The sequence below is a fragment of the Homo sapiens genome, chromosome 7 (assembly GCF_000001405.40).
Source record: "Homo sapiens chromosome 7, GRCh38.p14 Primary Assembly".
In the NCBI taxonomy this organism is placed as follows: domain Eukaryota; kingdom Metazoa; phylum Chordata; class Mammalia; order Primates; family Hominidae; genus Homo; species Homo sapiens.
In genome coordinates this window covers 39,037,875-39,062,400 of record NC_000007.14, presented here as the reverse complement: position 1 = coordinate 39,062,400, position 24,526 = coordinate 39,037,875, and the positions used below count along the sequence as shown (strand labels likewise).

Genomic DNA, 24,526 nt, shown 5'->3' with positions numbered 1-24,526 from the left:
AAACTGCCTAATATGATACCCCATGAGTATCATATTTTCTCATTCGACAGTTCTCAAAGCATGATTTTGCAAATCTCTAAGATCTCTGAGATACTCTGAGGAGGTCTGCAGGATAAAAATTATTTTCATGGTAATATAATATTATTGTAATAAGTATTTTTTTAACAGTACTGACACATTATTTGCCTTTTCACTGTGTTGACATTTGTATTCAGGATGCAAAACAATGGTGGACCAAATTGCTGGTATCTAGGTATAAATCCTAATAATGGCTTCAAGCTACACGTGTAGTATCCATGAACTCACACTAAGATTAAAAAGTAGAAGAGAAGACCAGTTTCACTTTAAAAAGTCCTTGATGTAATGGTGAAAATATTAATTTATAAAAAATTTTTAAATTGCACCCCTTGTGTACTTTTTCTTAATATTTTGTGTGATGAACTGGAAAGTGCACAAAAGCACCTCAGCTGCATACTGAAATATAATGATTGTTTCAAAGCGAGGCACCTTGCAATTGTTTAAGCTGCATTCTTGAGAAAAGAGCAACAAGCTGGTTTTTCAGTCTTTGGTATTTGACAGGCAGACTTTTTTGGGGAAAAATGAATGAAGCGAGCCTGTCACTTCAAAGAAAACAACTAAAAGTATTTGTTGCTGATGATAAAATTTAAGCTTTCAGAAAGAAAAAAATTAGAATTTTGGAAAACTTATATTCACCACCAAAAGTTTAACAACTTCCCAATACAAAAAGACTTTTCTGTTAAAATAAGTGGTGATATTAACAAACAAGATTTTTTATATTGTGTAATAAAATATGTCAACACTTGGAAGTGCTATAAAACACAGTGAACCAATAATTTCCAAATGACCAGTTGCATGATATTGCAAAATTATGAATTGGTAAAAGATTCATTTAAAGTGCAAAATAGGTCAATGGATGTTATTGTAAATGAGTTCAAACAGTTTATTAACATGGGTTTTTAATTCTACTTTGAAACTAAGCTTGAAAAAACTATCACTAGTCAGATTTTGATACTGTATCAAAGACTAGCCACGATTATCCTAAGAGGCTATCAAAATACTCCTTCCTTTTCCAACTACATATCTGCATGTTTCTTGCTTTCTTCATAAAACTCAACCAAATAAACATATCATAATAGAATAAACAAAGAAGTAGACATAAGACCACAACTGTCTCCTGTGAAATCCTATTAAAATGTCATTCTATTTTACATGTCAAATGTAAAATAATACCAGTCTTCTAAATTATTTTATTTGGAAAATATAATTTTTAATAAAAATATTTATGTTAACACATGAGTTTATTTTAACATGCATTAATATACAAATCTGGTAAGATTTCTTTGTATTTATAATTTAATAAATATCAATAGATATTACCCATGTAAATGAAAGCTCTTTGCAGTCTTCAATAAGTTTTTTTTTTTTTTAAGCTTAGTGATGGTGTCTATTTTGCCCAGGCTGGAATGGAGTGGCTATTCACAGGCACAATCATAGCACCCTACAGCCTTGAACTCCTGTGTTAAAGTGATCCTCCTGCCTCAGCCTCCAAAGCAACTGGGGCTACAGGCATGCGGCACCATACCCAACAGTCTTCAATAAGTTTGAAGAATGTAATGGAATCCTGAGATCAAACACTTTGAGAACCATCATTCTATTTGTGCAGAGTTTTTTGAGTTTCTGAACCAGCAACAGAAAGGGACAACTTTCTACTTTCTGCGTCTAGCTACACAGCATTGTTGGACTACCAGCTGCATTTTTCATCAACATTTTATCTGTCTTGAAGGTAGTGAACGTTTCTCTCATACTCGGACAATACATAGGTGGACTGTTAGACCTATCTGGGGATTTTGTAGATTTTCATATATTTAGTTACTTCATATTTTGTAGTGAAAATTGAGAACTTTTTTCTTTTAACTACATCACAAAATTCACCATTTTAAAGTGTATAATTCAGTTGTTTTTAGTATATTCACAATGTGTGCAGCCATCACCAGAATCAACATTTCAACACCTTAAAAATACCTTGAGTTATAACTCCATTATCTTCTCATACCCCAGCCCTAAGAAACTACTGATTTTCTGTCTCTACAGCTTTACCTATTCTGGACATCTCATATGAATGGAATCATATAATATATATGAGTTTATCTGTTTGGCTTCTTTTTTTTTTTTGAGACGGAATTTTGCTCTGTTGCCCAGGCGAGAGTGCAGTGGCACAATCTTGGCTCATTGCCACCTCTGCCTCCTGGGTTCAAGCGATTCTCCTGCCTCAGCCTCTCGAGTAGCTGGGATTACAGGCACCCGCCACCGCGCCCGGCTAATTTTTGTATTTTTAGTAGAGACGGGGTTTCACCATCTTGGCCAGGCTGGTCTCAAACTCCTAACCTCATGATCCACCACCTTGGCCTCCCAAAGTGTTGGGATTACAGGTCTGAGCCACCGCACCTGGCCCCTGTATGGCTTCTTTAACTTAGCACAATGTTTTCAAGGTTCATCCCTGTTGTAGCATGTATAAATACTTCATTCTTTCCTATGACTAAATAATATTTCATTGTATGACTATATCGCATTTTCTTTATCTGTTCATCAATAGATGGGTATTTGGGTTAGTTCCATGTTTGGCTATTATGAATAATGCTTCTGTGAAGATTTATATACAAGTTTTTATACAAACCTATGTTTTCACTTCTCTTAGAAATAGATTTAGGAATATCATTTCTTGATCATATGGTAACTATAGGTTTAACATTTTGAGGAACTGTCAAACTGTTTTCCACAGTAGCTGCAACATTTTACATTCCTACTAGCAGTGTATGAGGGTTTCAATTTCTCCACATCCTTGCTAGCACTTGTTATTTTCCTTTTTTTTTTTTTTTAATTACAGACATCTTAGTGGGTATGAAGTGGTATCTCGTTGTGGTTTTGGGAAACTGAGCATGTTTTAAGTATTACATTTGTGAATGAGATCCGGTCACTCACTTTAAATATCACATGCAAGTTTCTAAAGCTTTTCAATCAATCCTTTCCCCTTGATTCTTTTCTTTGTTCTCTTGAGTCTCCTAGAAGTATATATACATTTATCTAAGAACTTAATTTAAAAGATCTCAACATTACTTTCCTTTCCTAATTATCTTATCTCTAAACATAATATTTTAAAATTCTCTTCTTTGAAGCTTACGACTGAGTTCCTACATGAACACGTGAGCTGATAGGGCACACCTCTGAGAAGTCGTTATAAAAATGATTATACTGATTCATTATTTCCATGCTGTTTTGTCAGCTTTCCAAAAAGATATTGTATAAAAGCATTCCAAGAACCTTTATTTGCTATGACAGCATCTTTCTAAAAGGTGTTTATTTTTTACATTTTTATTTTCCCAAGTCTTTGAGACTATTTCTTACCTTGTTGAGAAATTAAACACTTGATCTTCATACAATCCAGGTTGTTTTCATAAATATAATTTTTTAAATGAAGATTCTGGGTGTTGGTTTGTAGTCAGCAGCTGTGAGTATGCAAATTAATAAAACTCCCTGCCCCTGTGTAAATCACCCACAATTTAGATTTTGTAGATGTTCCCTCCATCATTTGTATTACATAAAAATGTTAATGAACATTTCCAATACAAAACTGATAAATAAATAAACCCATTTACGTATCTAGTCATGTAAAGAATAATTTATTCTCCTAATACTTTGCAAATATTAGAATCATCTAAATTTACTACTTGTAATTCCATGTTTCCATGGTGATAGATTCTTCATCTCCAATGTCTAGTGAAAATAACCATTAAGAGATTGAAAATGACTAGACACTGGAAACAAGAATGCAGAGTGATGGAAAAAGATGATTTCCCAAATTCTAGCGGAAATGTATAACAATTGCAGTATCAGTGACTGGTAATGAATTAGGATCACTATGGAAATGTGTTCCCAAAATGGGACCCTCTGCACTGTGCAGGAGACTGATTGGTTCATACCTCTACCTAACTCTACTTCTGATATACAGGGGTTCATCATTTGGAATCTTTCCCTTCTTCCTTCCTAATCTCATCCCTAACCCCCATCAGGGTTCCTCTCACTCTCCAAATTCATCCGGGGGCATTGACTGGCTCCTAGTACAGAACTCACCAGGATGTTAGTGTATTGTTCCCCGGGAGACTGAGTCAATGACAGAACTGCAGATAACTTGGAGAAGAGGATACAAGCTGAAATATGCTGCTTTCAGATAGTACATTTAAACAAGGGGGGAGGAATTAGATGCTGTTTCTAGCTTTATGGAATGGTGAGAAAGTCTAAGAGCTGGAGCAGGAGAGACATTAACTTGAGTTTATCAGAACTTAACAGACTGGGTACCCGCAGGGCCCCAGAGGTGGACAGGTTCTGTTTGTTAACATTTCTGGTCATCCAGGAGCCTGGTGGACAGAAAGAGAGCAGGAGACAGTATTGAACTCCTTCTGGAGGAATAAACCAATACCCAATGTGAGGCCTCACTCTGTGAAGAATAGACTAGTAAAAACCACTTACTATAGAAATATCACAAATCACTGGAAACAGCAGAGATTTTCCAATTAATGATGTTAGGAGAAAATGATTACTTGGAGAACTGTCAACTGAAAAGCCTTACCTCACATTAAACACTAAAATATATCCAGGCAGAATAAAGAGGTAAACAAAAAAAGTAAAACTACAAAAATAGAATTAAAATGTGAAAATTAACTAGTGTTGGAATAGGAATGTAGTTTTTAAGCATACAGCAGTGGAAGAAATAAAAAAGGAAAATATTAATAATACAAAACTATTGAACTTTTACATGTTGAAAACATTATAAACAATTAGGAGGTAAATGAAAAGCTGACACTAATAACTGCAACAAACTAGACATACAACGATTTAACATCCTTTGCAAATTGAAAAAGACCAATAAAAGTGTGTGAAGATGAGAAACAAAAGACATAAAAAGAAATAGAAAAAGATTTCAAAAATAAACTGACTAGCATTAAAGGAAATGTAAATTAAACAGAAAAAAATGATGATCTACCACTTTTTCTTTTCAAATTTTAGAGAGAATTTTTTTAAAAATTGTTATATTTGGTTTAGAATGGTGGTATAAAAATGGCCTTTCCCAGTTACCATTTTTAAAAGCATGCAAAAGTAGTAAGGAGAATGAGAAACAGAAGCACAAATTCCATCTTCAACAAAACAAGAAGACATCTGAAGCCCTGAACCATAAAAGCAATGAAAGTTTAATGTGATAAGGAAAGACTTAAGAGAGAGGAAGCCACAACCTCAGAGCTCAGAAAATACTACCAACGCACCCTTCTCCAAGATGAAGGGCTCATTCTCAAGTCAAAACCAACAATCATTATTTTTTAACAATGGAACTGAGGGCAGCAGCTCATAGAGAAATGAATATTTTCTGAATCTCGTTTGATTCCAATGAGAAGAAAAGAAAGGGTCATACAGACAAGTTATGTTTTCAGGGAGCATTCCACTGATAAGACAGAGTAAAGAAGATAATTCTGTATTGTCAGCTTGTGAGCAACCTGGAAGTGCTGATCTCAGTTGACTTGGGAGTGGCAAAGTCTAAATAAATACCCACATACGCACAATTCTATTATTAAAAAATGTCCTACTGGCATAGAACATAGCATTGGCAACCCCATCCCCACCACCTACACACACACACACACACACACACACATACACACACACACACAGAGAGAGAGAGAGAAAAAGAGAAAGAGAGAGAAACAAGGAGAGAGCTTCTGTTGAGTTCTAATCCTGAATTCTGGGAAGTCCTGAGTTTTTAGAGTAATAATTTTTATAAAGAAGTCAACACTTTATCCATACAAAAATTATAAAAAAGATGGAGAAGGAGACAACAAAAGAAAATGCATCAAGAAAAGAACATTCACCAGAAAATGTTTGCCATAAGGCAATTTAAAGCATTATGTTCGAATATATTGTTATACATTTTTAAACTTAATGAAAGAAAGAATAACCTCTATAAAACAAGAATACAAAGCAAAGATTCAATAGCTCATGGAAGATAGTAAGACCACAGAGATAAAATAGGAGTTGACAGAGGGAAAAATTTAAAAAATTGTCACAAAAATAAAAACAAAATTGAAACAACATACAACATCTATCCTGGCTCTCTGATGCCTTCACAATAACCATGTTTTATCTCACTTTCTGGAATTGAGAAATAGAGAGTAAATAAAAATTTATACAGATGACAGCCCTGTATTCATATTTTATATGGGAAAATAAAAATTGCTGAAAATATTGAGAACTGGATTGAGGAAAATCAATCCAGTTATTAAATGCAAATAAAACAAAGCAAATACCAAATGGCTTTTTTTTTTAAAGATTAAAGAGATATTGATAGATGAGTCATCTAGACCAAAATAAAAAGATTCAACATGAAAAGAACAAAAAATTAGGAAATAATAAAGTATGCTTTAATAACATTTTCTAGAAATAAGACTTGAATCTAGAGTTTCAAAGCCTCACCCCATCCCAGAAAAAATTGAAACAGAATGCTCAACATCAAGACACAGTCATGTTATCAGATGAAAAAAAGAAAACTTTCTGTGCTATGTTTGTGTGTATCTAGAAGGAATCTACTATTTTCAGTTTCAGTATTTTCTTCTACCAACGTCTAGAACATTACTTACCTGCTTTGTACTTTTGTTCTTGCTCAAACATACAGACTCTGATCACAAAATGAAAAAAAACTAGACAAAAAAAGAATGAAAAGAACAAAGAAGTCATGATTGGAAGGAAGAAAATATTCCTATTTGCTTCTAATTGGAGAGCTTAAGGATAAACATCTTTAACAGGAAGTTAAAGTAACCTAATTAACATTATTTGTTTAATATTCTCACTCATAAAAGCAGATTTTTTAAAGTGCGGAATCTGCCCATTAGTATTCAGGCAAACAGGACTTATAAGATCAAGTCTGGCAGTGTTCTTAATCTAGTGGATTGCTGGAATACAATGATGAGCTATCTTAAATTACAATAATAAATTATCTGCCCTGAAAGAAGAAATCCCACCATTGCATCTTTTCTCATATCCAAAGAGAAAGTTGTAAAAGATGACATACAAATCATAGCATTGCTTAGCTCTTTTATTACTTTATCAAGAGTCACACACTGACATACCAGTTCCCCTTGCTCACCACCTGCACTTAATCTCCAAGGCTAATTAATTTATTTTCCTCACTATCTATCTTCTGACTTTGACGTCTACTTCGTTCCTACAATCCACTACTTCTAATCCAACTCACCTTCAGATAGCAGCTTTTGCCCCTTTCCAATCTATTCTCTCTGCACCCAAAGTGATCTTTTTAAATAGCAAACATGATCATGTAATTATCTCCCCCACCGGAGACTCCAACCCTGCTTATGACTCTTCAGTGGCTTTTTCTTATCTTGAGGGTAATGAGTAATCATTACATGATCTGGCCTTTTCCACCTGTTATCCTCAACTTCTGCAGCTTTTTTCATGTGCTCACACACGTATTCATACTCATTGAATAAGTGTGTGAGACATGGTTTTTTGTTTGTTTGCTTGCTCTTTTTTTTTTTTTTAAGTGTCTCCAAAAAGCTCTGATCTTTTCCCTGTGCTGTGGTAGGAGCATTCCTCCTTCTTCCCCCACCCCCACTGCAGCTGCAGCTCTCTCCTACTCAAATTTTGTGTGTCTGTTTAAGCAACCTTCCTCAAAGAAGCCTTTTCTGAGCCATTGTAACTCCTTCCTCTTAATATTTGTCTCTTTGAACTCTGTATTCATGCTTAGAGGGCCATTACCTGTATTCATTCACATTTACTTTCCATCCCTCAATTCCAGAAAATGAAATAAAACATGGCTATTTTAAAGGCATAAAAGATTAAGGATAAGCCAAACCCCTTTAGATTTCACTTATTTCATTTTATTTAATGTCACCCTAGTATGGGAGGTTTGAGTAAGTTGCTTAAATTTCCTGTGGCTTATTCGTCTTATCTATAAAATAGGAGCAATTACGCTGCCCATGACTGTTGTGAGGGTCAGGGTTGATAAGAAATGTTGTAACCTTTTATAAAGAACTGGATCATACTAATTAATAGGATAATAATAATTATTATTCTCAAAAGGTGTTATTGGTCTAATCATATATCTGAATGTAAGACACAGAAAGTACCTTGTGGTAGTTTTGATACTAAAAAATATATAAACATTTTAAAGTGTTTAGAGATTTTTTTAAATTTCTTTTTTCTTTTTTTCTTTTTTTTGGAGATGGAGTCTTGCTCTGTTGCCCAGGCTAGAGTGTAGAGGCATGATCTCGGCTCACTGCAACCTCCACCTCCAGGTTCAAGCAATTCTCCTGCCTCAGCCTCCCTAGTAGCTAGTACTACAGGCACGTGCCACCACGCCTGGCTAATTTTTGTATTTTTAGTAGAGACAGGGTTTCACTATGTTGACCAGCCTGGTCTCTAACTCCTGACCTCAAGTGATCTGCCCGCCTTTGCCTCCCAAAGTGCTCGGATTACATCCATAAGCCACCGTGGCTGGTCTTTTTTTTTAAATTTCATTTTGTTGTTCTATTTGCCAGTACTGATTTCTCTTAGGCCAGAGACATGTTAGTACTTCAAAGCGATTTTTTACAGCGTGACAGCCTGAGGAAAAGTTTCTAAAACCCCCAGAAGAGTGGTAAAACTGATGATAAAGAATAGAAAAAAAATGGGCAATTATCTGTAACATATGCTTGCAGATTATACATGCCAATGTGCATGTGAACACACAGATGAAATATTCATTTCATATGTTCAGAAAAAAAGAACATTTTATATTTTAAGTAACTCACTCTTTACCTCAGGGATCTTCTGGGGGGAAAAAAGTTGGTGGTGTTGGCAAATGTGTATACATATTTAATATATGTATGAAAAAAGAGAAAAGTAGGGAGAAGATAACAAAAAGGAAAGAGAGACAGAGAAGAAAGGAGGAAGGAAAAAGACAAGAATTATCAGGATTCTCTTTTAGAAAGTACCTTATTGGGCAAAATTACCAGGGATCCAATGAGAAAAGGCAATTTGACAGTGAATACACTGTAACTTTCCTAGTGAATGCTTACTTTCTGGAACAAACATAAATGGCCCATGTGATGCAAAAGCTGTGATGCAAAAATTTCTTGGATTTCCCTTCTTCATTTTGGGACCATTTCTGAAAAGGGAGCACTAAGTTCTTCTTCTTCCATCATCTTAAAGGGGTTTTCATCATAGATCAGCTCTACTAAGGCCTTTGAAAAAATGGAATGTATTCTACTTCTTCAATATACCCCACACCCCTGCCCAAGTTTCTAATTCAGTAGATCTGTGGCAGGCCTGATAATGTGCTTTCTAGTAAGTTCCCAAGTGATGCTGATGCTGCTAATCTGGGGATCCTGACCTTCAGGAAATTCTGAAAGCCAATAGAAAGAACAGAAAACCTTAGAAGTAGAATCATGATTTGAAAGAGCTAGGAGAATGGACAAAGCCAAGGTCCAGTGTGGTTCTGGCACACACTGAGCACCCCATAAATACTGAATTAACAAGTGGATGAATAAATAACAATGTTTTTATCTGAATGCTTCCGTGAATGGCCCAAGGAAGAAGAGCACCATAGTGACCAAAACATAGGCTTTGCCATTAGATATATCAAATTTCAAACCTTTCTTCTCCACTTACTGGCTGATACGGTTTGGCTCTGTGTCCCCATCCAAATATCACCTTAATCTGTAATCCCCATAATCCCCATGTGTCAAAGGTGGGACCAGGTGAAGGTAATTGGATCATGGGGGCCGTTTCTCCCATGCTGTTCTTGTGATAGTGAGTGAGTTCTCATGAGATCCGATGGTTTTATAAGTGTCTGGTATTTCCCCTGTTTGCATTCATTCTCTCTCCTGCTGCCCTGTGAAGAGGTGTCTTCTGCCATGATCATAAGCTTCCTGAGGCCTCTCCAGCCATGCAGAGCTGTGAGTCAATTAAATTTCAATTCTTAATAAATTACCCAGTCTCATGTATTTCTTCATAGCCATGTGAGAACGGACTAATACACTGGCCTTATGACATTTTACTATCATTTCATTTCTCTGGGCCCAAGTTTTTCTCATATTTATATTGCAGTCGCAGTATCTACTTTATGGAGTTGTTCTGAAGATTAAGAATAATGGTTGTTAAACTGGCTAGGTATGGCTCCTGTCACACTGGAAAGACACACTATGTGATGCTTATTCTCTGCTGTTGTTCCAAGGCTCTCCAAAGTTGCATAGGCTATGTGATAGGAAGGTGTTTCAGCACTGACACCCAAATAATCAGCAGTCAGCCCCCAACACCTGCCAGTGATCGGTAGAAGAGGGCCTAGCCAGTTCAGTGTTCATGAGTACGTGACAGGTGAATCGCCACACAAATGGTAAGTATAGTTACTTTACACGCCTCCCAACCACACAGTATTGTGCATGACAAGGACACCCTCAGCTTCAGTAAGCAGAGAATAAATGGATTCTAGAAAAATAAACACTCATGGATACACTATGTTTGAATAAGGATCTAGAGTCAAACACTTTTTCATAAACTTCCTGTCCACTTCTCCACCCACTAGATCCATATTGCTTCTGAGAACATGCTCTAGTAACTGTTTTAACAGAATAATCTATCTTTTTCAGGAGAGGATGGCAATCAAAATAAAAGGAATAGCTACACCTGAGTAAAAAACATCTTCTCTAAAAGTCTCAAAGAATATTACTAAATGCCTTATTCAAACATTGTTCAATTCCTACACCTAGAGCTTTGGCTTTTCATACTCAAGATTAATGTTTCTGTAGAGTATATGTGAAAAGCTTAAGTAGGGAAATGTAATCATTCCTCAAGTGTCCTGATGTTTTCCTATCACATACCTCAGTGCCCTGAATATTATGTACATAGAAAGTAACAAGTAGATTTTCGAGCATTAGCCCTCACCAGCAATTTCTACCCAAACCTACTCAAACATATACTGTAAAATAAAAGACACATGAAAACTAGCCAGCTCTACTACTTGCTCTTAAGCAAAAAATGGAATATGGGTTGTGTTCAGTGATGCCACTCTTGTGGATCAGCTTTGCCCCTTGGTGTCCTTTGCCTGTAGAACTTCTGCCTATCAGAGACTCACTCTAAGCAATGATCTGAGGTTCATTTGCATGAAAATTCAAAATAATAAAAATATTTAATTCTGTCTTCTCCTAGATGTCTAAGGCCCATTGCAGAGCACTGGGCTAGGCTATATGAGGTGTCCTGAAGCATAGGCTAGGCATGGTGGCCTGTGGGATCTAAGTGAATAATTCAAGATGCTGCAGCTTATGGGGAAACAAAAAAAGAGGCGAATGAATTGGTGGAATGAGCAAGTCACCAAATATTTTCTCCAAACAGTAATGATAAAACTAGACAAATGTATCAGAAACAACCATTACAGTGTCCTGGAAATTGACCAAACACTTACAGCAAACTGATAAGCACTTATTAAAGAAAAACTATCAAATTTTCATGAGAACTGTGGAAATCCATGGCATTTTTGCCTGGGCTGCTCCCCTTCTTGTCCCCCAGATTTTTCTTCATGGTAATTCTTAGATGGTAGGGCACATGGTGAATAGCAGCTTAAGTGTAGGAGGAAAATAACTTGATTTGGAGCAGTAGTTGGACAATCCCATCCCCAGCAGAGATGTCAACAATAAGCAACAATATCAAAGACAAGGGAATTAGGACAACAAATTTTGATACCTGAGGTTGAATCCTGGTTGAGGCCCTAATGGGCCAACCAGAAGTTTAGCAGGAAAATATGGGAAATGAGACAGTCATAGAGACACTTGATACCCTTGGTTGACTGGAGGTGATGTGTACACACAGGGGAGACTGGAAGAAGTCCAAGCTGTTCACATATCCCTGTCTTACCAGGAACCTCTGTGTTTTGCAGAGGAGATACCAGAAACTGCAAAACAGCCTGAACTAAAAACTGTCTGAACTATAAACTTTTTCCTGAATCCACATAGAGACCCATCAACTCAGCGGGAGATTTTGCTGGCTTGAAGTGTTTGGGCCCAATCTCTCACTAATCATTGGCTGACCATTAGGTTATGCAGAAACAGGACTCCTAAGAAGTCAGCCTTAAAAATATGAACAAGGTTGTGGCAAGGGGGTTGGGGGAAAAGGGGTGCTAAGCAGAGAGTAGTGTCCACACACTATAGATGAAAAAAACTTCAAAAATTTAGTCCAAACAAGTTACTAAACAAAGATATAAACACATTTTTAAAACAATATTGGTAATAACCTCCAGAACAAAAAAAATTGGAATCAAGAGCTGCTATAATATGGCATCTTAAAATAGTCCACATTCAATAAAAATTATGAGACATGCAAAGAAACAGGAAAGTGTTACTCATATTAAAGAAGGAAAATAGCAGTGAATAGACATTTCTCTGAGTGTCCTCAGATGCCAAATTTAGCAGATAACAACATCAACTCAGTTTTATATATATGTTCAAAGAACTAGAGTAAATTAACAGTAAATAATTAAGGGAAATTATTATGACAATAGTCCAAAAAATAAAGGACCTCAGTAAAGATATAGAAATTATTTTAAAAATCCAAATGGAAATTCTGGTGATAAAAGTACAATAACTAAAATAAAAATTCTACTTCAGGGGCACACTGCTAGATATAACAGAGCAGAATTAAGTTGGTATTATGATAAAGTAAATTGTAATTACTTAAGATGCATAACCACAAGCTATCATTTGCTGATCTCTATGCTAGGCTATAAAGCAAGCCTCAATAAATTTAAAGGATTGAAATAATATAAAGTGTGTTCTATGACTACAACGGAATTAAGTCAGAAATCAATGAAAGAAAGAGATCTGATGAATCCCCAAATATTTGGAAATTAAACAACACACTTCTAACACCCATGAGTGAGAGAAAATTGCAAAATATTTTGAGCTGAATTAAAAACAAAAAAATCAAAATATGTATATCATGCATTTAAAACAGTGCTTAAAAGGAAGTTTATAGTTTACAAAAAGAAAAATAGTCTCCAGTCAATAATTCAAGCTTCCTCTTTAGCTAACTAGAAAAATAAGAGCAACCTAAACCCAAAAACAAAAAGAAAAAGGAAATAATATGGATTTACATGAACATCAAGGAAATAGAAAAAAACATAGAAAATAACGAAACCAAAAGGTGATTATTTAAAAAGATCAACAAAATTGGTAAATCTTCAGCCAAACTAAGAATAAAAAGAAAGAAAGCACAAATTGCCAAAATAAAGAGCAAAAGAGGTAACATCAGTACCAACCCTACAGAAATTAAAAGGATTCTAAAGGGACATTAACAACTTTTTCCCCAAAATTTGACAAATTAGATGAAATGACAAATTTCTAGAAAGACAGAAATGAGCAAACTGACTCAAGAAGACATAGGAAATCTGTATAGATATGAGATACCATCTCACACCAGTCAGAATGGCTATTATTAAAAAGTCATAAAAATAGATGCTGGGAAGTTGTGGAAAAAAGGGACGGCTCATACACTGCTGGTGGGAATGTAAATTAGTTCAACCACTGTGGAAAGCAGTTTGGTAATTTCCCAAAGAACTTAGAACTACCATGAAACCCAGCAATCCCATTATTGGGTATATACACAAAGGAATATAAATTTTTCTATCAAAAAGACATGCACATGTATGTTCATTGCAGCACTATTCACAATAACAACGATATGGAATCAACCTAGATGCCCATCAACGGTAGACTGGATAAAGAAAACACGGTACATATACACCATGGACTATTAGGCAGCCATAAAAAAGAATGAGATCATGTCCATTGCAGCAATATGGAGCTGGAGGCCATTGTCCTTAGGACACTAACACAGGAACAGAAAACCAAATAATGCATTTTCTCACTTAGAACACATAGACACAAAGAGGGGAACAACAGACACTGGGGCCTACTTGAGGGTGCAGGGTGAGAGGTGGGTGAAGATAAAAAAAAAACTACCTATCAGGTAATATGCTTATTACCTGGGTGATGAAATAATCTGAACACCAAACCCCACAACATACAATTTAGCTATGTAACAAAACTGCACACATACCCCTGAAACTAAGATAAAAGCTTAAAAAAAGAGAGAAAATTTGTATAGACCTACAACCAATAAAGCAATGGAATTCGTAATTTAAAACTCTTACCACAAAGAAACTCCTAGTTCTAGATAGCTTCACTGATGAATTCTATCAACTATTTAAATACCAATCCTTCAATTGCTCTTTCAGAAAATAGAGAAAGAGTAAAGTCTTTCCAAATCATTCTACGAGGCCTATTTAACAAAGCCAGCCAAAGACATCATAAAAAAATAAAATTGCAGATTAATGTCCCTGAGAATACAGAGGCAAAAATTCTTTTAAAAAATTAGCAAACCAAACCAATCAGCAGTTTAAACATATTTTATACCACAACCAAGTGGGATTTACCTAAGAATACAAAGTTGATTTAACACCTAAAAATTACCTTACATGACCATTTTACAGATGTAGAAAAAGAAAAGGCAGTTGACAAAATTCCACATGCATTCATGATTTTTAAAAAATTTTAAATGGAATCAAACAGAATTTCCTCAATGTCTACAGAAAAAATATTAAGTGCATCTACACTGGAAAAGAAGAATGGTCAAAAACAATTTTTTTTGTTTGCAGATGACATAATCTTGTATGGAGAAAGTTCTAGGAATATACACATACACACCACACGCCTTCTACAAGGTTGCATGATAGAAGATCAATATACAAAAAATCTATTGTCGTTGCAAATACTAGTAATGAACAATCTGAAAATCAAATCAAGAATACAATTCCATTCACAATAGTAACATAAAACAAAATACTAATGATGAATCTAACAAAGTGTAAGATTTATACAATGAAAACTACAAGTGCTGAGTGAAAGAAATAAAGGGAGGTAAAGAAATAAGTGGAGACATATTCCCTTTTCATGGATTGGAAAACCTAATAGTGTTAAAATGGCAATTCTCCTCAATTTTATTTATACAGATTCATGGCAATTTCTATCAAAATTTCAATAGGCTTTTTTTGTGAAAAATGACAAATTGATCAATATATAAAATTTATACATAAATGCAGAGAGCCTGGAATAACCTGAATAATTTCCAAAAAGAAGAACAAAGTTGGAAGACTTGCACTAACTACCTGGTTTCAAAACTTACTATAAAGCTACAGTAATCAAGGCAGTGAGGCATTGCTGTAAGTGTATGTATATAGGTTAATGGAGCAAAATGAAATTCCAGAATTAAATGTTTACAATTTTGGTCAATTAATTTTTGACAAAAATGTGGAGACAATTTAATGGGGGGAATGACAGTCTGTTAACAAATGGTGCTGGGACAAGTGGATATTCATATGAAAGAAAAAAAGAACTTAGATCTTTATCTCATACCACATGCACAAATAAACTCAAAATAGACCATAACCCTAAATGCTAGTAGTTTAAACTATAAAACTTCTGGAACAGTGGTTCTCAATCAGGATGAATTTGCTTGCCAAGGGACATTTGATAATGTCTCGAGACATTTTCAGTTGTCATAACCAGTGAGAAGGGGTCAGGCAAGCGCTAATGGATCTAGTGCATAAAAGCCATGGATGCTGCTATGTATTCTGGAATGAAAAAGACAGGCTCCCATGACAAAGAATTATCTGGCTCAACATATCAAGAATGCTGCTATTGCAAAATCCTGATCGAGAAGAAAATAGCAAGAATGCTGTTATGCAAAATCCTGATCTAGAAGAAAAGCTCTGTGACTTGGGTTATATAAGGAATTCTTAATGTGACAATAAAAGCACAACCCATTTTTTAAAAAAGATTATTAAGATGAATAACTCTTGCACTTCAAATTAAACTATTAAGAAAATAAAAAGACAAGCCACAGACTGGGGGAAAATATTTGAAAATCAGATTTCCGACAAAGTGCTTGTATCCAGAATATATAACAAACTCTTCAGCTCAATAAGACAAACAACTCAATTTAAAAATGAGAAAAAAATTTAAATATACTTTCGCCAAATGAGATATACAAATAGCTAAAAGACACGGGAAAGGATGCTCACTTATTTAGTAATTTGAGAAACGCAAATTAAACCACAATGAGATACCACAATAAATCCATTACAATAGTTATAATAAAAAATATAGACAATATCAATTTTTGGCAAGAAGGTGGAGAAACCTGAGCTGTTATATCCTGCTGATGCTAATGTAAAATGGTACAGCCATTTGGAAAACTGTTTAACAGTTTTCTAAAAAGTGAACCATAAACATATCAATATGACCCACAAATCCCACTTCTAAGAATCTACCCAAGAAAAGTGAAAACATCTCTACACAAATACTTGTATCTGCCTGATCATAGCCACATTACTCTTAATAGCAAAAGACAGGAAACAATCCAAGTGTCTGTCAACTATGAATGGGTAAATAAAATGTGATAAAATTAAAGTAAAATGGAAAATAAAAATGGATTAGTAAAATGTCTGGAAAAGGCCAATTTGTAGTGACAGAAAGCAGACCTTTGGTTGCCTGGGGTAGGGGTAGGAGTGGAGACTGGCTGTAGAGGGGAATAAGGAAACATTTTGGAATGAAGACAGTGTTCTAAAACTGGTTGTAGTGATGGTTGTGAAACTTCACAAATTTAACAAAAATCATTACATTGTACATTTTGAATGAGTGAATGTACAGCATGTAAATTATGCCTCAATAAAGATTAAAAAAAAAAACAAGCTAAAGAGCCTCATCCCAATGTGAGAATACAAATAATACTAGAAGGGAAGTCAGAGAGATCAAGAAGGTTTATGGCAAACAGATACTGGAAAAATCCCATAAAGTCTACGAATGGCAATGTGCCTAGAATCTTGGCAGGGAGAGAGCATAAAGAGCTATAACTTGCTGGAAACCCCTCCCCTCACACCTCTGGAATGAATGAAGCTGGGTTAGCCACAGGCTTTTATATAGGAAGCTCTCATGCTTTGGGGCATGTAAAGGTAGGAGTGAAAATCCCACCCAGTGGGTCCTGAAGCTGACTAAGGTGCTGATAATTTCTCAGTTCGAGCTATAGGTACGGGATGCGAATTCGCGATGCTTATTGCTCTGAGGAATGGAAACTGATAGAGGAGTGTACTATATCATAACTACAGGGTTTACAGCCTTAAAGAATCTCAAGGAACATTACTGTAATGAGATGGATACCTGTGTACCCAGAGAAGTCACTACCTAGAAGGCCACAGACTCCTTATGCCAGTCTGTTTTCACAAGAAGCATTGCAAAATTGATCAAATAAGATTTGCATCTGGTGAGGGTTCAGAAAGGGACCAAACCATGCCCCTGGAATGACCACAGATAGGAATCACCTTTTGTGCCTTCAAAGAGGACTGATAATTGCCCTTTAATATGTTTCCCAGCTAAGCCAATCACCAGTTACAAAAAAAAATCACAGCCTTCTTATAAAACATCATATGGAAAAATATCTTTTCTTCTTTCTGCATGCTAACTTGAACATGTTTTTTCTGCAAAAAAATGCTCATATTTATCAACTTATTCATGGGCTCTGTCAGCAATTTTTAGCCTGTGAGAAACGACATCCTGTGCTAACCACAACAACCTGTAAGAACAGAAATGGATTTCTAATTTAATCCCATCACAGTATTGGTCAGTCTCAGAAAACATTTATTATTTCATGACGAAGGTGGCAATATTTTGAAAATCGCTTTATAAATCTATCAGTCTCAGAAAAACAACGTCTTTTAATTTTAAATCAAAATGCTACAGTATCTGCTCCTTCATTAAACACAATTGTCTCAAAATATCTCAAAACATTTTATTGTCAAAAATGGAATGGGTAAGCTCCAGAAAGAATCTTTACATAAAATATATCTATAATCCCTGTAGAAGTAGAAATATATGGACATGTATTCTTATGCACAACAAATCTTGAATGTAATGTGTCTTAAAGCATCATGAAAATCATTTGGAAAAAGGATGTAAACTTGGATTTTTTAGTTTCTCTGAATAAAGGTATTTCATAAATGGAAAACAAAATGATAATGAAAATCGACCCCATACGTTCTTTAAAATTTTCTAATGGGTCACAGCTTAAGTACATTCTTTCTTCACTTCCAGGTTCCTAGACTCTCCTGTGCGTAAGAATCCCCTAGGGTGTTTGTTCAAAATGCACTCTTTAAGTCCCTACGCCCAGGAGATTCTACTTCAATGCATCTGAGATAGGGCCTGGAAACCTGGTGATTCTGATGAAGGGGCATGAGAATCACTGCCTCTGAGGACTCTGGTGAATTGCTTAAAGACAGATGTATTTCCCAATAATTTTGTACTTGAGCCTGGGGTATGGCAGCCTTCATGCAACAGAGAGCATTATGGGATTCCTGAAAACCTGGACAATGGAGGACCAAGGGGGCAGAATGGATCAAGACTACACCAAGCTAGCAACTTGAGGATGTTTTCCTTTGGAGGATTTAAATAAGTATGCTAAAACCAAGTCCATGCCAGGTAACATCTGTTCTTTCTGTGACTATTCAAGCAAGACAACGGCTAATAACAACTCCTTGATTACTGAACAACCGTAAATGCTAGACAGCCTGAGGAATCTGTGTGGGCATTACATGTTCTTTACTGGTCATAAAATCCAGTTGGTGTGCAATTACTCCAGTGTGACACCTTATATAAGCCAGAAATCATGTCTTCACTTTAAACATTGTAAATCAATAAAATTACACTGTAGCCATTGACAACACATGCAATTTTGCCTGTTTGATGCCCCATTACTGCAACAGCACTTGCCTTGGTTTGGAAAGCAGTCCTTCACTTCCCTAAATGAGTATTACAGGGGAGTTTCCCCCTCCTTGGTCTTCTTGCATTGAGGACATATTTATAGACAGAGAATAATGTCACAAAAATTGCTCTCATAAATAGTCTTTGCTACTTTATAGTATTGGTGTCCATTCCTAGGTCAGATGGTGAAATTTCTAAGAGTTCCATTTTTTTTCCCAGTGTATTTTCTTACCATTTTTACATAAAAAGGTGGTGGAATTCAGAATTGCATGCTTGAATTAAATGTGTCATGTTAAACACAATAATGTGCAAAATATAGCATGTTAAAACTGTACTCCTATGATATAAATATAAAACTTCTACCAGAATAAAATTAAGGAGGATGTCTTTTGTGGGATGTTAGGAAGCCTAACACTCCCCCATTATCCTTTCTGGGATCCAACTTACAGAGAACATACACACACTCCAGAATCACTTGCCCAGTGAGGATCAAATTGCCAATGTTATTCATGTCCTGGCAGGTGTTTCCAAATCTTCCAAAGGCAAGGCCTCTGATTGGAGGATGCAGTGTAAGAGACAGCCTGAGACAAAGGAGAAGATTTCTATTCTCCCTGCCCCAGTTAAAAACAGGTCAGTGTGCCCTGAAGGCACGACTTAGCCAGCCACATAGAACTGAAAAGCTGAAACAAAGTACAAACAGGCATCTCAATGGGTCTCCAGCAGACTCTGATAAGATCCATTTACCACTTGGAGATTGACAGTGCAAGGTAAGCCCCTCTAAAGAGGCTGACATTAAAGGGAATACACCTGGGGTGAGGTCTACACTGTTTGTTGATGAATGTGACAGTCAGCATAGGCTAGGTCAGTCTGCAGTAACAAACAACTTCACTTCAAAATCTCAGCATCTTAAAACAGCATTTTTTTCTTGTTCATGCTACATGTCAAACATGGGTTGGCAGCAGGGCTCTGTTCACTCTCGTCACTCAGAGACCCTGCTGACAGAGGCATGGATCTCAGCACATCCTTCCATGATCACTGCAGCAGAAAGTCTCACCATCCCAATTGAATGTCCTGGCTATACAGTGACATACATCACTTTTCCACCACAGTCCAGTGGCCAGAACTCATTCAGTGGTTCCTCTTAACTTCTAAAGGGCAGAGAAGTACAATCCTCCCATGAACCAGGAAGCTGTAAACACTAGTATGTATGCCACAGTGGGGAGTAGCATTGCAGGAGTCACCATTCATTTAATTTGCTCTTTCTATTTTACAGCTTGGCCACTCACATTTTTAATTGATCATTTTCCTCTGATTCCTTTGATGTCTTATTTACATAGTCTCAGTGGGCATTGAAATGGAACCTCTATAAAAATGTAGGCATGGAAAACAACTTTCCCTCTGTTCCTCCCACATGCTCTCCTGCCCATTCTTCAGAGTATGTATCCAAGAAGACAAGAGGCTGTGTCATAGGAAACTATCAGTTTCAACACTCTGACCATAACGTTTGTAAATCCAGCCCAATAAATGCCTGTGATTCTTACCAGTCAAATTAGCCAATCCTCCTCGCATGGTGAAAAGTAAAGAAGTAGATGAGATCATTTCAATACTCCTTGGGTCTTTGGGTGGGAATGGAAGCCTCCTTTTCCATGAAAACATGTGGAAGAAAAGATATCATCTAATAATGTCCTAGTCTTAGATTAGAGAAGACTTTATAAGTCTGGCATGAAAGCTAGATATCATAAGGCAAAATTTTATCTCTTATAAGACAAAAGAAACCATCAATAAGATGGAAATAAAAAAGAATATATTGGAAGAAAATATTTACAACACATGTAACAAAAATGTAGTATCCATAATATAAAGGGTACCTATAAATAAATCAAAAAGACATTCAAATGACCAATAAACATAAAAAAGTGGTTAACCTTACAGATAATTAAAGTATACTTATCATTTTGCCTATAAAATTAGAAAATTTAGAAGATTGATTTCAATCAAAAGATCACCAGAAGATGGAGAATTGGTTGATGTATAAACTGGAACAATGATTTTGGAGAGCAATCTACCAATAGTAGTCAAACTTTAAATTTACATGTCTTTTGACCAACGAACCTCCACTTCTAAGAATCTGAACTTCAGAAAGACTTGCACAAATACCTCAATTATATAAGCATCATACTTCTTTACAGGATAACTTGTGAAGTGAAAAATTGGAAAATGCACAAAAGTTTATCCATAGAGAGATGGTTCCATCGATGCAACAGAAGATCACGCAACCATAAAAAAAATCAGATAAAGCTATATGTACTGACTTGGAACAAGGCCTGTGGTACATTACTAAGTGAAAAGCAAGCTGCTGAATAAAACATACAGTACACACCACTGGTGTGTTGGGATCCATCTCTCATTGAAGGAGGAAGCCTTGAGTAGTGTTTGCTGATGTCCATGAGGTGAACACTAACCATGGCTCGATTCAAGCACCAACCCTTTAATAATTGGCTTGAAAAATTCTACAGACCACTGTATGAGTATATTTTCATTTTTAAAAAAGTCTGTATGTGTTTGAGTATGTAAGTATGCGAAAGTGTATGCGTTTGTGTGAGTTTAGAGGCACAGAAAAGATGTCAGGAAGGGTAAACAGAAATTAGAACAGAATCATAGTGGGACAAGAGGCAAAGTACCATGTTGTAATTTACATACTTGAATATTTGAATTTGTTTCATTGAAGATTATTGCTTGAATACTTTTCTTAAATTATGATTTACATATTTTATCATTGAAAAATAATAAATGATTACTATAGGAAAAATACAAAATATAAAAAAGAACAGGGAAGAAAATTAAAATTACCCAGAATTCTATTTCAGAATAACCACTATTACTATTTTCTACATTTTTTTCCAGTTGTTTTCTTCTGGAAAACATAGCTTTGGGTTTTTTCAAAACCAAGTTTACATTTTATGGGTAATTTGTTAACTGTACAGAAAATTTTCATTCCATTTCTGACTATTTCCTTAGGAAATAATGTTGTTTATTATCTTAGAAGTGGCATTAATTACTGGCTAAAGGTAAGATCACAAAATATGTCTTAAAGATAGGATAACTACATTATATTAAATGTAATTCAGGTTAATTCTATGTAATGAAATTTTATGTCTCAGATTTTCTAAAAATATATAGATAGATTTTTATGGCAGTAGAAATAAAGAAATTAATGTTTTTTTGTACATTTTACTACCTATGCATTATTTTACATGCAAGAAAATTATTGGCCCTGTAAAGCTTGCTATAGAAGTAAAGTGCAGTTATCTGGATATCTGGATTAACTCAGTCAATCTGGGATTTATATATATATATATATAAATGTATATAATATATACATATATATAATACATATATATGTATATAATATATATAAACTTTAAAAGGAAAAATAAAGCAAGCCAGTGCAGACATTTAGGAAGTAATGAAAATCTTGTCAATACAGCTGCTGATAAAAAGCAGGTGAGGGAATTCAGTACAACCCACTTAAGCCCAGGATTCCAGACACCTGCATTCACCAGAGATTTGAAGTCATTGCATCAAGCTCTATACCTAATCCGATATCACACCAAGTTGAGCCCCAGTCAAACTTCTGGTTTCACAGTATGATTTCCAAATGCACTCTCCACCTAACCTTTGCCCATTACTCAAAAACTGAAAATCCAAATTTGTAGACATACCTTTCATGGGATACTAGATTCAGAAGTATCTCAGGACCAGAGTCCCGGATATTATGTGTGTCTCAAACCATTTGTTTTATTTGCGACTATCAACTCACATGCTGATGGTTCTTAATCCAACATACCTCCATTCCTAAGTTATTTAAGTAATTGATAGAGTTCCAATATCCATTGAAATAATTAGAATTACTTGGCATCATTATTTACCTTTCTTTTCTTTTTGCAATTATGGAGATTGTCTATAGTGAGAGAGTAAAGAAAAAAATATAGTCTCTTTTTTTCTTTAAGTGAATGCAATTAGTTGATGCGTCCATAAAGGAGCTCACCTGTACTTCATAAAATTAAAGATGTAGACATCTGAGGATGTAGATGACAAAAAAAGTCAGATTGCAATGGAAATTGACTAATAAGCCCTTTTTACCATTGATTCATTTTCTTTTAATAAATTACAGAGAACACAGTGAGTCTCCAAGAATGAAGGAAATTAAATGTGAAGCCAGCATTCTATAACCTCTTGTATCTGCCATTTCCAAACAGAACTTTTGACCATGGTAAAATAGCAAGAGAAATGTCGAGAAAATCAGATAGAGAGTAATGGAATCTTGGAACCAATAAACTACAAATTAGTAGAGAAAGGGACACCCTAGAGGCCCTAATCTGGACTTGAGTCAATATTGTGATACAATTGTCCAACAAAACTTATGTGAATTCAAACTGGCTTGAATCCATGCCCTAAATCCATGTATTTATATATCACCTATTCCCTGGGAACTAAGAGCACTTCATAAGCAGTTTTGTCTTCCCTCATTATTAAACACCCACAGTTTCCCCTTCTTTTGTCTCTGTGGTGACCTAATATTCCCTGTCGACAGAAGGAGATACTGGGGTAAGAAGAAGCTCTCTCATATGCCTGAGACAAATCACAAAGAAACAACTAAAGTCAGCCCAGGTACTGTTGCTTCCAATGGGACGTATTCTACACTAGCCAAGATTTAAATAGAGGAATGTAGGAGTTAATTAAGATATCAGCAAGAACTACAGTGGGTATGGATGATAAGGCAAGGGTTTCAGCAGTTTAACAGCATTACTAAAGAGGTTTTTAAAGGGATACACAAGAAAGAATAAACACCGCACTTAATTCCAAGGTTATAATAAAGTCAAGCCAGAATGAAAAATGAGGAGATATTTCCCCAAGATTCAAATTGCCTTAAGGCTAAATTTTCAGAGATCTGAGTGCTGTTTGTATGTGTGTTGTGGCGGGTGCTTGGGAAATGGTCTTTGCTATCAGTTATCTTCCTAAAACTAACTTAAACCTTTTGGGATTCAAATACATTTATTTTAGGCAAAATAAATTTACCATTTTATATTAAAAATAGAGGCCTTAAATGTTCATAGGAGTGTTTAAATTCCTTAGAAATAGTCAGCTTAATTTTCCCCTGAAACAAATGCAAATTTTAATATACAATGAAAACTAGGTGACATAAATGATGGAAAAGTATAGTATACCAAAGAAAAGGGTACGTCAAAAAAAATGTGATCTTGTATCCTCATCTTGGTGGGACAGAGTCAGTCCTCCAGACAGTTCTTACAAGTGGAAGAAACAATCCTATGACAAAAGAGAGAAACTCCAGAGTTGGCAAACCATTTTATTCCTTAATTTTTGAATGCTCAGTTAAGCTACAGCTTGAACAGGTCTGTGACCAACACACATTCATTCAACTGGTCCCTTGAGTAGATTACCTGTTTCCAGTGAGAACTCCTTTCTTTAAGACCATCAAAATAAACCTGCTATATATTTGAATTTGGAGAGATTTTTGGAAAATAGCTTATTGCATGTCTCTTGCTTGCTTAAACTAATATGGGGCGGTAAATGGTCGGGGGATG

At 35.5% G+C, this 24,526-nt stretch overlaps 1 protein-coding gene across 4 annotated transcripts in view, besides 1 other annotated feature; it reads right to left on the bottom strand.

Moving 5' to 3' along the window:
- POU6F2 (POU class 6 homeobox 2) overlaps window positions 1-24,526 on the bottom strand; it is a 490,693-nt gene that overhangs the window by 406,201 nt on the left and 59,966 nt on the right. The gene's annotated exons all lie outside the window — the stretch shown is intronic.
- Window positions 19,331-19,955: an enhancer, noted in NCBI's record as "NANOG hESC enhancer chr7:39082046-39082670 (GRCh37/hg19 assembly coordinates)". NCBI's record gives its function as "activates a minimal SCP1, AML or CMV promoter by ChIP-STARR-seq in naive H9 embryonic stem cells {active_cell/tissue: H9 hESC(naive)}" and the evidence as "EXISTENCE:reporter gene assay evidence [ECO:0000049][PMID:30033119]".